This window comes from Homo sapiens, chromosome 20 (genome assembly GCF_000001405.40).
Source record: "Homo sapiens chromosome 20, GRCh38.p14 Primary Assembly".
In the NCBI taxonomy this organism is placed as follows: domain Eukaryota; kingdom Metazoa; phylum Chordata; class Mammalia; order Primates; family Hominidae; genus Homo; species Homo sapiens.
Genome location: NC_000020.11, coordinates 21627538 through 21641482, shown reverse-complemented (window position 1 = coordinate 21641482; position 13945 = coordinate 21627538). Strand labels below are relative to the sequence as shown.

The 13945-nt window shown below is 43.5% G+C and overlaps 1 long non-coding RNA gene across 1 annotated transcript in view; it reads left to right on the top strand.

The window, feature by feature from the left end:
• LINC01726 (long intergenic non-protein coding RNA 1726) overlaps positions 1-13945 on the top strand; it is a 92799-nt gene that overhangs the window by 62103 nt on the left and 16751 nt on the right. The window lies entirely within an intron of this gene.

The following is a 13945-nucleotide window of genomic DNA, read 5'->3' as shown; positions in this document are numbered from 1 at the left end:
CCCCCTAGTCAACAGCTGCTTTGGCCCGAGACTTCTCATCGGCTGAACCAATCAAAGTCCATCACAGCAGCTCCTCCGATGCTTCCTCCACCTCCACAGTATTTTTTCCCCACCAAGTTGGGTTCCTTCTTCCAAATTCTTCCCAAACTCCACATCTTCACCAAACCTTCCTTGAGCAGCCCAGCCTCATGCCAATCCCTGCCTCATCATCCTTCCATCATGTCTTTCTCATCCTCACAGCCTCCACATATCCCCACAGTCAGTGCTCATGGGATGTTTGTGCCTGTGTTTGCCCATCCAGCTGTTTGCATCTTTGTGCCTCCCCGCACCTTTCTGGGCTTGGACCACATGCCCAGGGTATGGTCAGGCCCTACCAGGGAAAGGAGCACAACTGGCATGTGTTCACAGCCCCCAAAGGCTGCACACCATTTGGCAGGTGCTCAGATGCAGCCTGGCTACTCCCAATGTGCCTGGCTACTCCCATCTGCCAAGAAGGTAGATAGATATTCTAGAGAGATATTCAGAGAGATGAAAAATCCTTGGAAGATGGAGTCTGTGCTAAGCCAGGCTGTTTTGAGAAGCTAGTGTCTGCATCACATACATTCAGACTTAAAGTTCTTCTCTAGAGGTATTCTTTGACTTAAACCACATAGCTGCTTCTATCGCCTTGACAGCTAGGCTGAACCACCCACCTTAGCAGGTGCTTCTTTGCTGGCCCGTTGCTACCACCTATTGGCTCCTGGAGGAAACAAGAATGAGCCACATGTCTGAGGATAAGTGCTTCCGAGTTCCCAAAAGGCTTCCAGGGGCTGGAAAATGATCACATGAGAAGCCACCATGTAGGGAATCGATGCCTGCAGAATGCTTTTGCCATCTTGGCTCTGTCTTCCTGCCCCTCATCAAAGTTGGCTCAGGGAGTTCAAATATAGAACCAACATTTGTTTTAAAAACATAAAGGCAGGCAAGCCCTACCCAATAAAAATTGACATAGAGAGATGAACTACCCCACATTCAGAGAAAAACTACTATTCCAGGCCCACCTTCCCAAGCACCTTGCTTCTGCAGAATTTTTATCCATGAGGCATCTGTTAGGTTACCTGCCTTTGCCAGGGCCTAAAATCCCACCCCTTAGCAAAGCAAAAACGTCATCTAGATCTTTCTAAGATGAAAGACAATCCTGTCTCTTCACATAGTATCAGCATAAGGATGGCCACTGAAGCAGAATCTCACATGATAAACTAAGCTATCCTTGGAAAACACAAGTATTTCCCAAAGTAGAATGTAGACTGTGTCACAACCCACCAAAAGTGGAAATTTTTGCATTCAAATTTCCTGGCTATGAGCTCAGACCACCGCCACTACCAAACAAAATCTGGCTAGAATGGACTGCAGGGAGTGAAGTTGATGCTGATTTTCTCAGGAAGCCAGGGTTTAAAGTTGGGCTTTTCCTGGTTCCAATTCGTTGTCTGCCATTGCTCCAGGAAGAATATAGCTCAATTGTTCCTAATTTTGAAAAACATCAGAGCTGACCATTTGCCACAAGAAGTTAATTTTCAGTGAAAAGAGAGGCAAACTCTTTTTTTTTTTTTTTTTTTTTTTTTTTTTTTGATACGGAGTCTCGCTCTGTCGCCCAGGCTGGAGTGCAGTGGTGGGATCTTGGCTCACTGCAAGCTCCGGAGAGGCAAACTCTTACAGTTATTTATTGCTGCATAAAAAACCACCTCAAAATGTAGCAGCTTGAAACAATTTATTATTAAACTAAAACAAGCTATTAAAGCTACACCATGTCAGCTGTGGCCACACCTGTGTTCATCTGGGTGGGACTAGAGCCTCCCAGACAGCTTCTGTCAGGTATCTGCACCTGCATGTGCTGCTGGGTGCCCTCTTCCTCCACATATTGACTCATCCCCCAGGGCCTCTTCCCATGGCATCACTCTACCAGGATAGCATGGATGTTCTTATAGCACAGCAGCCCACTTCCAGGAGGGCCAACACAGAAACTCCCAGATCTCTCAACCACTAGGCCTGGAATTGACACAGTGTCACTTCTGCTTCATTCTACTGATCAAAGCAAGTCACAGGCTCGCCCAGATTCAGGGAGCAGGAAACAGATTCCACCTATCAACAGGAAGAATGATAAAAGCCTATGTGGAGAGGAGGACTGTAGGCACCATCTCTAAGACAAGCTAACACAGACCTTAACAGAAGAGAGAACAAGATAGGCCTCATTATTCCACTGTCCATATGGAGGATCAAAGTCTTTATCTGCACAATGGCATTAACAATGCTACTTGGAGCATTGTTCAGATTCAAGGAGATAATGACAGTTAATGCTGGGCACATGGCACATGCTTGTGGCTCTCCAAGTGTAGCCAATTCCCATGAAACGTTGGGCTCCACCAGGAGCCTGTGAAGACAAAACCTGAGAGGAGGTGCCATTTTGGAAGCATGCAGGGTTCAAGGCTGGCTCCAAACCACACCCTGCTGTGAGTTTGCCAGGGAATGTTCATGCTTTGGTTGACTTTTCTCACCTTCGTTTTCTTCTCCGACCCATCTAAAAAGGCTCCAAATTTATTTCTTTTGAAATCAAAGATTCAGAGGAGACTAGTTTCTCACTTGCAATAAGGATGCTACCATACCGAAGGGCACCTCCAGACCAGCACACAGCAGGCCAGTGAGGCCATGCACACAGGACGTGGAGCCTGCTGGCCCTCCGACAGGCAGCTCCACTTTTATCCATTTTAAGCATTAGGGTCATTCAATATAAAATCTGGTGTGTGGTTGGAACCCCTGGTTTATTACAAAGTGCTACCTTGGCTAGCTGAATGTTAGCAGACTGGAACACCAGATAGCCAAGTTTTGATGGGGACGAGAGAGATTTATACTTTAAGAGAAGTGGGCAAAGAGAAGATGCATGATTGAGGGAAGAGGGCATGCATAAAATGAGCATCTTGGGAGGCAGCATTCAAGAGACGAAGCAGAGTATGAGTATGTAACGGATGCATACAAAAGAGCCTTAACAAAGGAGGAAATCCTGCCTTCGCAGCAACATGAAGGAACCTGGAGGACACCACGCTAAGTGAAATAAGCCAGATACAGAAGGAAAATTACTGCAAGATACCACTTTCATGAGGAATCTAAAATAATTAAACTCAGAAGCAAAGAGTAGAGTGATGGTTGCCAGGATCTGAGGGGAGGGGAAAAGAGAAAGGTATTAGTCAAAGGGCACAAGGTTTTGGTTATAAAGATGAGTAAGTCCTAAAGAGTTACTGTACATCAGAGTGTCCATAGCCAGCAATACTGTATTGTGTACTTAAAAATTCGTTAAGAGGATAGATCTTGTGTTATGTGTTCTTATCACAAAAACAAATAAATAAAAAGGGGACAAGGACAATTTGGGAGGTGATAGATATGGTTATGGCCTTGATTGTGGTGATGGTTTCACCTTGCATACTTATCTCCACACATACCAAGTTGCATGCATTAAATATGTACAACCTTGTACCCATGAAAATCAAAAATAAAAACTTTTAATAACATATATATAGATTATTGTATGTTAATCATCCCTCAATAAAGTGTTGTTTGTTTGGGTTTTTTAAGAGAGAGATGAAGCAGAGTTGGACAGTGCTGTGACCTCTGAGCCAGTCTCTGCCAGGCCTGCCACATCTCCCACCGGGAACTGTCCCTGTGCTTATTCTTGGCTTCCGGAATCACTGCATCAGGGCATTCTCCCTGGAAGTGCTGGGGAGTTACCCCTAGTGACACACTCAGCCACAGACAGGCAGGAGTGGCGGTGAATACCGCAGCTTTCCGAGCCCGCCTTCTTATCTCTGGGGGTGGAGGAAGAATCCCCTAGTTCATCCCCTTGGTCCTCACCTCTGCTACTTGTCCTCTTGACTACCGGTTTTAACCCATCCTAGCCACTCTTTCCATAGAGAGGGAGACAAAAATGAATGGAATTATGCAATGCTCTTGTAACTGTAAAGGGCAGAAGCCAAACTTATATTAGCTCAAAGAAATAGGAGATATATTGCTCACTTAACTAAAAATTCCAGCAGTCTTCTAGCTTCAGGCACCAGGAGCTCAAATGATGCCATCTCCATCTCTCAGTTCTGCTTTCTTAGGGGGGTTGTATCCTTAGAGGGCTGAGAATGATGTCTGCAGTGCCAGGATTAGTGGCCTCAGTGCAAGGAGGACTATTTTTCCTTGACGGTTCTAGTATAAGTCTAGGATGGAGTTCTCACGAATCTGGCCTGATGATGGGCCAACCCTAAATCTATCATGGTGTAGAGCAGTAAGGATGCTCTGGTTGGCCAACACCAACTTGCGTATGCACTGCAGGATTTAGGCAGCATTGGTTCCACATAAAACACATAGAGGAAAGTGATTTTCTTTTTATTATTATTATTATACTTTAAGTTCTAGCGTACATGTACACAACGTGAAGGTTTGCTACACAAGTATACATGTGCCATGTTGGTTTGCTGCACCCATCAACTCATTATTTACATTAGATATATCTCATAATGCTATCCCTCCCCCCTCCCCCCACACCTGTGTGTGATGTTCCACTCCCTGTGTCCATGTGTTCTCATTGTTCAACTCCCGCTTATGAGTGAGAACATGCGGTGTTTGGTTTTCTGTCCTTGTGATATTTTGCTGAGAATGATGGTTTCCACCTTCATCCATGTCCCTGCAAAGGACATGAACTCTTCCTTTTTTATGGTGGCATAGTATTCCATGGTGTATATGTGCCACCTTTTATTTATCCAGTCTATTATTGATGGACATTTGGGTTAGTTCCAAGTCTTTGCTATTATGAATAGTGCCACAATAAACATACCTGTGCATGTGTCTTTATAGTAGCATGATTTATATTCCTTTGGGTATATACTTAGTAATGGGATTACTCGGTCAAATGGTATTTCTAGTTCTAGATCCTTGAGGAATCCACACTGTCTTCCACAATGGTTGAACTAATTTACTCTCCCACTAACACTGTAAAAGTGTTCCTATTTCTCTACATCCCTTCTAGCATTTGTTGTTTCCTAACTTTTTAATGATCGCCATTCTAACTGGCGTGAGATGGTACTTCATTGTGGTTTTGATTTGCATTTCTCTGATGACCAGTGATGATGAGCATCTTTTCATATGCCTGTTGGCTGCATAAATGTCTTCTTTTGAGAAGTGTCTGTTCATATCCTTTGTCCACATGTTGATGGGGTTGTTTCTTTCTTATAAATTTGTTTAAGTTCTTGTAGATTCTGGATGTTAGCCCTTTGTCAGATAGATAGATTGCAAAAATTTTCTCCCATTCTGTAGGCTGCCTATTCACTCTGATAATAGTTTCTTTTGCTGTGCAGAAACTCTTTAGTTTAATTAGATCCCATTTGTCTATTTTGGCTTTTGTTTCCATTGTTTTTGGTGTTTTAGTCATGAAGTCTTTGCCTATGCCTATGTCCTGAATGGTATTGCCTAGGTTTTCTTCTAGAGTTTTTATGGTTTTAGGTCTTACATTTAAGTCTTTAGTCTATCTTTAGTTAATTTTTGTATAAGGTGTAAGGAAGGGATCCAGTTTCAGCTTTCTACATATGGCTAGCCAATTTTCCCAACACCATTTATTAAATAGGGAATCCTTTCCCCATTGCTTGTTTTTGTCAGGTTTGTCAAAGATCAGATGGTTGTAGATGTGTGGTGTTATTTCTGAGGCCTCTCTTCTGTTCCATTGGTCTATATATCTGTTTTGGTACCAGTACCATGTTGTTTTGGTTATGGTAGCCTTGTAATATTGTAATATTACAATATTAATGTAATGTATGGTAGCCTTGTAATATTGTTTGAAGTCAGGTATCGTGATGCCTCCAGCTTTGTTCTGAGGCAGCTTAGGATTGTCTCGATTATGCAGGCTCTTTTTTGGTTCCATATGAAATTTAAAGTAGTTTTTTCCAATTCTGTGAAGAAAGTCAGTGGTAGCTTGATAGGGATACCATTGAATCTATAAATTACTTTGGGCAATATGGCCATTTTCACGATATTGATTCTTCCTATCCATGAGCATGGAATGTTCTTCCATTTGTTTGTGCCTTCTTTTATTTCATTGAGCAGTGGTTTGTAGTTCTCCTTGAAGATGTCCTTCACAACACTTGTAAGTTGGATTCCTAAGTATTTTGTTCTCTTTGTAGTAATTGTGAATGGGAGTTCACTCATGATTTGGCTCTCTGTTTGTGTGTTATTTGTGTATAGAAATGCTTGTGATATTTGCACATTGATTTTGTATCCTGGGACTTTGCTGAAGTTGCTTATCAGCTTAAGGAGATTTTGGGCTGAGACGATGGGATTTTCTAAATATACAGTCATGTCATCTGCAAACAGGGACAATTTGACTTCCTCTTTTCCTAATTGAATACCCTTTATTTCTTTCTCTTGCTGATTGCCCTGGCCAGAACTGAGGAAGGTGATTTTCTAAAGGAAAGTCCAGGTACTGTCACCAGAACAAGAGGAAGATGGAGTTTGGTTGGGAAAAAACAACAGTTACCCACCTCAAGAACTAACAATGCTGAACATATATCATGGTTCTGCCACTTGCCAGGCTCTATTTATATGCTGTCATTAAATCCTCAGAGGTAGACATGATCCCCAATGCCCCCATTTTATAGAGGAGAATACTAAGGTCAAGGAGGTGAAGCCACTTGCCCAGTGCTGCACCATTAGAAGGCATGATTCGACCCGTGTCCAGATTAGAAGTTATTTGCTTTTCTTCCTGGAGCTCCTGTCTCTACATTCTGTTGGATTTGCGTATGACAAGTTGGCCCACAAGTCTAGCTTTGTAGTTTGGCGATCATGCACTTCTCTGTCTGTTGGTCAAAGCTGTCATCCAAGAGAAAGTAGCCTGAGAGGCTTCACTAGAGCCTCCAGCTTCACATCCCTATTTCCCAGAATTCAAGAGGCAGATTCCTGGATCTCCTAGCTCATGACTGTGAGGACTTCCAATTCTTTTTTTTTTTTTGGTGGGGGGGGGACAGAGTCTCGCTCTGTCACCCAGGCTGGAGTGCAGTGGCGCAATCTCAGCTCACTGCAACCTCCGCCTCCTTGGTTCCAGTGATTCTCCTGCCTCAGCCTCCCAAGTCGCTGGGATTAGAGGATGCGCCACCACACCCAGCCAACTTTTGTATTTTTAGCAGAGACAGGGTTTCACCATGTTGGCCAGGCTGGTCTCAAACTCCTGACCTCAGGTGATCTGCCCACCTCGGCCTCCCAAAGCGCTGAAACTATAGGCGTAAGCCACTGCACCCAGCAGGGATTTCTAATTCTCAGCCTCATTGCAGAAGAGAAGAGAGTCATTGCTTCCTCAATTTGACCTGCAGCTCAATTTGTTTTTTACTTTTCTGGTATAATCTGGGCAACAACTCTGATACTTCATGCATGTCCTGTTGCACATATGATTGCCCTTGGCAGGCCTGTCTGTCATCCACCAATCTGAAGACACTGGGGAACAGTTCAGATCCCCTCAAGGCCCTTGCCTTCCCACTGACTATCTCCATTTTCAGAAGGGCAGCAAAGGAAGAAATTATGAGTAAGAAAGCCACCTCACGTCTTCAGCCAGGACCCAGCAAGAGCCCCTGAGAAAGGAAAGTTACTACCCAAAGCCCGAGTAGCTAGAGCAGCAGTTCTGAACCATTTTTTGAACACAGGACACTTCTGGTAAAGCCCTTGAATCCCTTCTCAAAATGCTTGTAAGCACATTAAGTAAAATACACAGGAGTACAAAGGAAACCACTTATACTGAACTACAGTTATCAAAATATCTTACAACAAATTTATGATATGCTAATATCTGTGATTATTAATTGGCACACTAAATAGCAGGATCTAGCTGTATGTCTAAACGTTAACATGATTTTGAAGTCACGATGAGTGTAAATAAAGTTTTGAAATGCCTATAAAACTGTAATGTAATATGAAAATATCTATGGTTTCTATTGATGACAGTCACAGGTACTACTAACACTGCCACGAGTTGTTGTCCACAGAATTGAAGGAAATGCTAAGCTGTGCATCACTTTCCGTGTTAATAAAGGTGCAATTATATTATTCTCTTGAATTCTACTCCCAGAATTTTGAGGGACTCTCAGCAGATCCCAGGCTAAGAACCAAGTGACATTCTAGAGTGTCTGACATTACAGCATCCATGTATGGGTGTCTACAGCCATCCTCTTGGCAGCCCTGTGAGTGTTGTCATCCCCATTCTTCAGTTCAGGAAACTAAGGCTGGAAAAGGTTAAACCATGGGAAGGCACAGCAGTGAATGGACCCGGCTCTGGAGCCCATGGCCTTCCTGTTTTCCTGCTTCTGTCTCAGCAGCCTCATCGTGGTGAAGCCAGTGTCTCATGCCTTGTCTCTAGGAAGAGGGGAGATGAAGTGGAAAGTCCACACCCCCAATGCCAGGAACAAAACAAGCAACCCTGCAGCCATTTCTGCTTCCCACTTCCCCATGAGCCGTTCTCAGAGATGGAGAGAAATGTGGCTATACATGCAAGCCCTTCAGAGGGGAAATAAATGTGTGAAAAATTCCACTTGACTAGGCCTACAGTTAAATTGTGCCACCTCATGAGGAAACCCAAGCCTCCTGGGAGTTCATGCATTTGGGGCTGGTTAATATCAGCATGAGCAGCGTCCAAGGAGCACTGCTGAGGCCCTGCACATTTAGGAGGTGAAGAACTGCCTCTTGCCTGTGCAGGACATGAGGGCTCCTGAAGGCTGGGCCTTGGGAAATGAAGCATCAGGCTCAAGTCCTGCCGTCAGCCTCCCCATAGCCATTGAATGCAGGGAAGCGTAAAACTGCAGCCTCCTGGCCAAGGCCCAGCTCAGGAAATTGCTTTTTGCCTACTGGGACTCCACATGCATTTTCACTTTGCTGGCCTCTGTGCCAGCAGCCAGTGCAGTGAACATCTGCCAGCCATCGAGTCCACCTCACTGGCACCCAGGGCCTCCTCTCATATCTCAGCGATTCCTCATGGAAGATAATCTCAGTCTGCATGGAACAGAGCAGACCTCTGGGTTGGGAAGGCCCACTGCAGAGATGAACTGGAAATAAAGACTTAACTCAGGGTGTAACAGGGGTATCTACAGTTCCTGTCAGCTCTGTTGGAGTGTTAGGCTGACAACTCAGCTACCAGCCTTACCCAGCTTAGCTGAAATCTGTTCCAGAGGTGGACTATGCCATCCAGGCTCAATTCCCCTGTGCAATAGCGTCCCCGGTGTCGAAGCAAATTGAGAGCAGATTTCATTCAGTTTGAAGCCTTTAAAGGGGCTTTGAATTTTTATTAATCTGAACCTCCTCATGAGGAAACAATCAGACAAATCCAAAATGAGGAACATTCCAAAAATAACAGCCTGGGGTTTTCAAAATTGTCAATGCCATGGGGGAAGAAAGGGCTGAGGAACTGTTCTAGAATAGAGGAGGCTAAAGAGATAAGTCAGCAAATGCAATGTGTGAACCTGGGCTGGATCCTGGAGCAAACACACAGGAAAACGGTTATTAAGGACACATACTGGGACAACTGGGGAAATTTGAATATATACCATATTAGATAACAGTGTTGTTCCAATGCAAAATTTCCTGATTTTGGTGTAGGCAAAGATCCTTGGTCTTAGAGCATCTGCAGATCAAAGGTTATGTGTGCATAACTGCATCTCAAATGGGTTCAGAAAAGATTAGAGAAAGAGAGAGAGAGAGAAAGAAAGAAAGATATAGATAGATAGATAGATAGATAGATAGATAGATAGATAGATGATAGATAACTAAGCACAAATTGAGCAAAACGTTAATAATTGGTGAATCTAGATGAGGAGTAAATTTGTATCTGTTTTACTATTTTGCAACTTTCTGTAGGTTTAAAAATTTTCAAAACAAAAATGTGGAAGGAAACTCTTTAGAAAAGGAAGAAGGAAAAATAAATTTTGTACTTCCAAATAATGTAATGTAGACGTTACCTTCCAGGGAAGGTAAGTGAGTGGAATCAGGGAGATACATACAGTTAATTTCAACAGTTTTAGTAATGTACACTTTCTCAAGGTGGATGGTGGGTTCAATGTTTATTTTAATACAATGCTTCATCAATTCAAAATGAAATATATTAGAGTCTTTCATATGTATCAATTATTATGTAGAAATACATATTTTACCAAATAATTACCTTGCAAAAATGTTTTTATTAATATTTTTCTTTTTTCTTTCTTTTCTTTTCTTTTTTTTTTTTTTTTTGGAAACAGGGTCTCACACTGTCGCCCAGACTGGAGGGCAGTGAGCCATGATCATGCAGTGGCATAATCACAGCTCACTGCAGCCTTGACCTCCGGGATCAAGGAATCCTCCCACCTCTGCCTCCCAAGTAGCTGGGACCATAGGTGCATGCCATCATACTCAGCTAATTTTTAATTTTTCTGTAGAGATTGGGGTCTCACTACATTGTCCAAGCTGCTCTCAAACTCCTGGGCTCAAGCCATCCTCCCACCTTGGCCTCCCAAAATGTTGAGATTACAGGCATGAGCCACCACACTCAGTCAATATTTCTTTATATTTTTTATTTATTTGTCCTCAGAGGTAGATCAATGAAAGTATTTTTTGAGGAGGTCCTGAAATTCCATGTGTCTGTTATTGGCCAAAAAAGCCCACCCCAGTTGGTAGAAGGATAGAAGGTCTTTATTTACAACAACAGAACTGCTAGGCTGTTGATGGCTTGTTGGTGCTTGTTGGTGCTTGTTGCCAAAGATTTCAGGACTGCCTTCTCTAGTGATCACCAGCTCCCTGCTTTGATGGTTGGTTCACTACTGGCAGGGAAGAAGAGCACTTCTTTTTGCCTTAGGGGTTTTGCCCTGACTCTTTCTTTCCCTACAGCCACCCCCACCCCAACACCACCCCCAATGCCTAAAGTTGGTTAGGGGTGGCAGGCAAGTGCTGAAACCATGGGTGGAGAGGAGGATCCCCCAGCTGTGCGATTTCTCCCAGCAACTTGATGTTAATGGAAACAAAGCCTGGGGAGCCGCCAAACACAAAACCATGTAACAATGACCACACCAAGAGTACAAACCAGACAGAGCAGCCCCTGCCTAGACCTGTCCAGTGTCTTCCCAACACACCTCAAATGAACATCAGTCTCCTTGCTGTGACCTTTAAGGCCCAGAAGGGCTCCTATAAGCCTCTGTATCCTCATCTTCTACAACATCCTCTCCCTACCTTTTGCTCACAGTGTGGCGGCTGTGTTGGTTTTCTCTGCCCCTCATATGCACACACCTCAATACCCCTTGGGGATTTTGCATTTGCTCTTCTCGTCTCCTGGGATGCCTTTCCCCACAATCCTTACATGGCTGATTCTTCTGGTTGTTCAGGTCTCAGTGCCAATATCACCTCCTCAGAAAGCCCCTTCCTGACCCCTTAGTGTGAGACAGCCCCATCTTACATGTACTCATTTATTTTTTGCATAGTATTTTTTCTATACTTGTCTGGTTTATTTATTAACTTCTTTATTTTTCATTTCCCACCAGTGGGATATAATGGCTTGTTCATTACTGAAGCCCCAGCACCCAGCCAGTGACATCCTGAGGACCTCATTCACACATCCACTCACATGTGACTTAGGCAGTTATTCTCCCTGCCACCTTCAGTTTCTTGCTCCATAGAAAAAGTCCTAACACTTACAGCACCCATATCAATGTGAAGAAGAGAATATATATCAAGGGCAGGTATCACCGTAGCTACCGTGCACCTGCTACTGGCTGGGCGCTCTATAAATGCTGGTTTCCTTCCTGCCTCTCAGGTCCTTACAAAGCAGTTTTGACCTATGCTGTACCATTTGCCCTTTGTCAAACCTTTTAGTTAAGCTGTGTTAAACCTTTTGCAGTAGCTGGGGAAGCGATTGTTACCCCTATTCCATAGACAAGGAAATGAAAACTCAGAGAGATAAAATTACACAGAATCACACAGTCAGGGATAACATGGGCTATTCTTGAATCCAGTCTTCCTGTTTCAAAATTTTGAACCCATGTTCCTTACACTCCCTCACAATACAATGTGGTTACTTAAGGACACACAAAGATAGAAATGAGAGATGATGATGATGGGAAATATTCACCAGCTTTCCAGATGGTGGGAGAGAGAGACAGGGAAGTGCGGCCTTCCTTCGCACGTGTTTGTAGAGCTTGCTCTACTTACAGCCAGACCGCCCTTTCTCAGCTGTTGTGGCCCTTGGAGTCTGATTAGGAGAATGGACTTTTGTCCCAGAGCCCTTTGGTCTAGAGCCCTTCCTGGTCTGGACCGGGGGAGATGATCCCTGACACGTCCTTAGGAGCCCACATTTCTAAAAGAGTATCCAGAACAATCTCTGCATCTCCAGACCTCAGCACCAGGGATGAGCTCAGACAGGTACCAGGTTGCTGCCAGCTGTTCCCAGGTTAGAAATGACTGACTTCCTCATTGTCATTGTTCACTGAACAAAGCTGTGTTGCCTTGGTCTACTGGCACCATTGCTTCCACGTGGGTTATCTCTAATGTTTCTCCAAGAGCTAAAGATTTGCCTCCTCTCCAAGACCAGAAAGCTTCTTTTCCCAGCCATGGGAATGGACAGGATCCCCAACTCTGGCCTCAACCATCATGCACGCCTGGGCATAACCTCTCCTTCTGATGTTACCAAAACACCAGAGTTTCGGTCTAGGTCCCATTGCTTGCAGCACAGAAAGCCAATCACTGAGATGAGTATTGCCAGGAAAGAAGGCTTTAATTCAGTGCTGCAGCTGAGGAAATGGGAAATCAATCTCAAATCCATCTCCTCAACTGACTTAAATTAGGGGTTTATATAGCAAGGAAGAAATGTAACCATGTGTGGGAAAATAGGTATTAGGGAGGGTAGGGGAGAGGAACTGGTCCACAGGAAGCAGGTGGCCGGTCAGGCAGTCATGACAGGTGTGGGGGGGTGGTCTGGCATCTCATTGTCCAGATCTAGTGATCTGATGAGTTTCAGGTCCTTGATATAATCTGGGAGGCCTGATTATTGGTTTCCTGAGGAAGAAACTCAGGTAAGACAAATGTAACTTTCTCAAGTTTTAAGATTGGGAGAGTCAATTTCTATGTTTATTTAAAAGAAACCATAAACATTAGTTACATGGGACAATTGGGCCAGTGTCAATGTAAGCAATTCCTGGCAAGCCAGAAGTAAGAGGGGAGCACAGGTGCAGGTAATTAAATGATGTGTACCGGGGACTCAGTTTTGCTGCTCTGACTCAAACACCAACTCTGTGCATAGCAAGCTCTATGGCAGTAACATCAGCTCACAATGATGCTGATGACATGTGTAACACTAGCCTTCACTCTGCACTTCAGCTGTGCCAGGAGTGATACACATATGCCCCTGTGCACACTCACCCAGATAAAATCGAGGCTAAGAGAGATTAAATGACTTTCCCAGAGTTGAAAGAACTTTTAAAACTTTTACTAGTTTCTATTTTTAGCAAAGTTACAAATACATACAGTTTAAAGAGCGTAACAATTCAAGTTTTGTTATAAAATATCATTGCCCCTACTCATCAGCCCCCTTCATGGATCTTAGCTGACTGTTTTGGCATATGCTAACCTTTCTTGAAGAATATGTTTTTATTGCTACATCTTGACTTTTATATCACCCCTCTGCACACACGCCACTTTCCCATAACCCTGGCTCTCCCAACATAATTATTTCAAAATTTGTAGTTAGAGATAAATCATCAGTGCTTGAATTATTATGAATATGTAAATACTCCTCAGATCTTATTATGATTTAATTTTTGTAGTTATTAATACTCCAAAGTTAATCATTGTTTTCTTTTGATTTGCTTAGATTTCTGTGTATTTATCGTTCACTCAATCACAAATGCTATCAATTGTCTAAATTTCTTCTTACTGCATGAGGTTT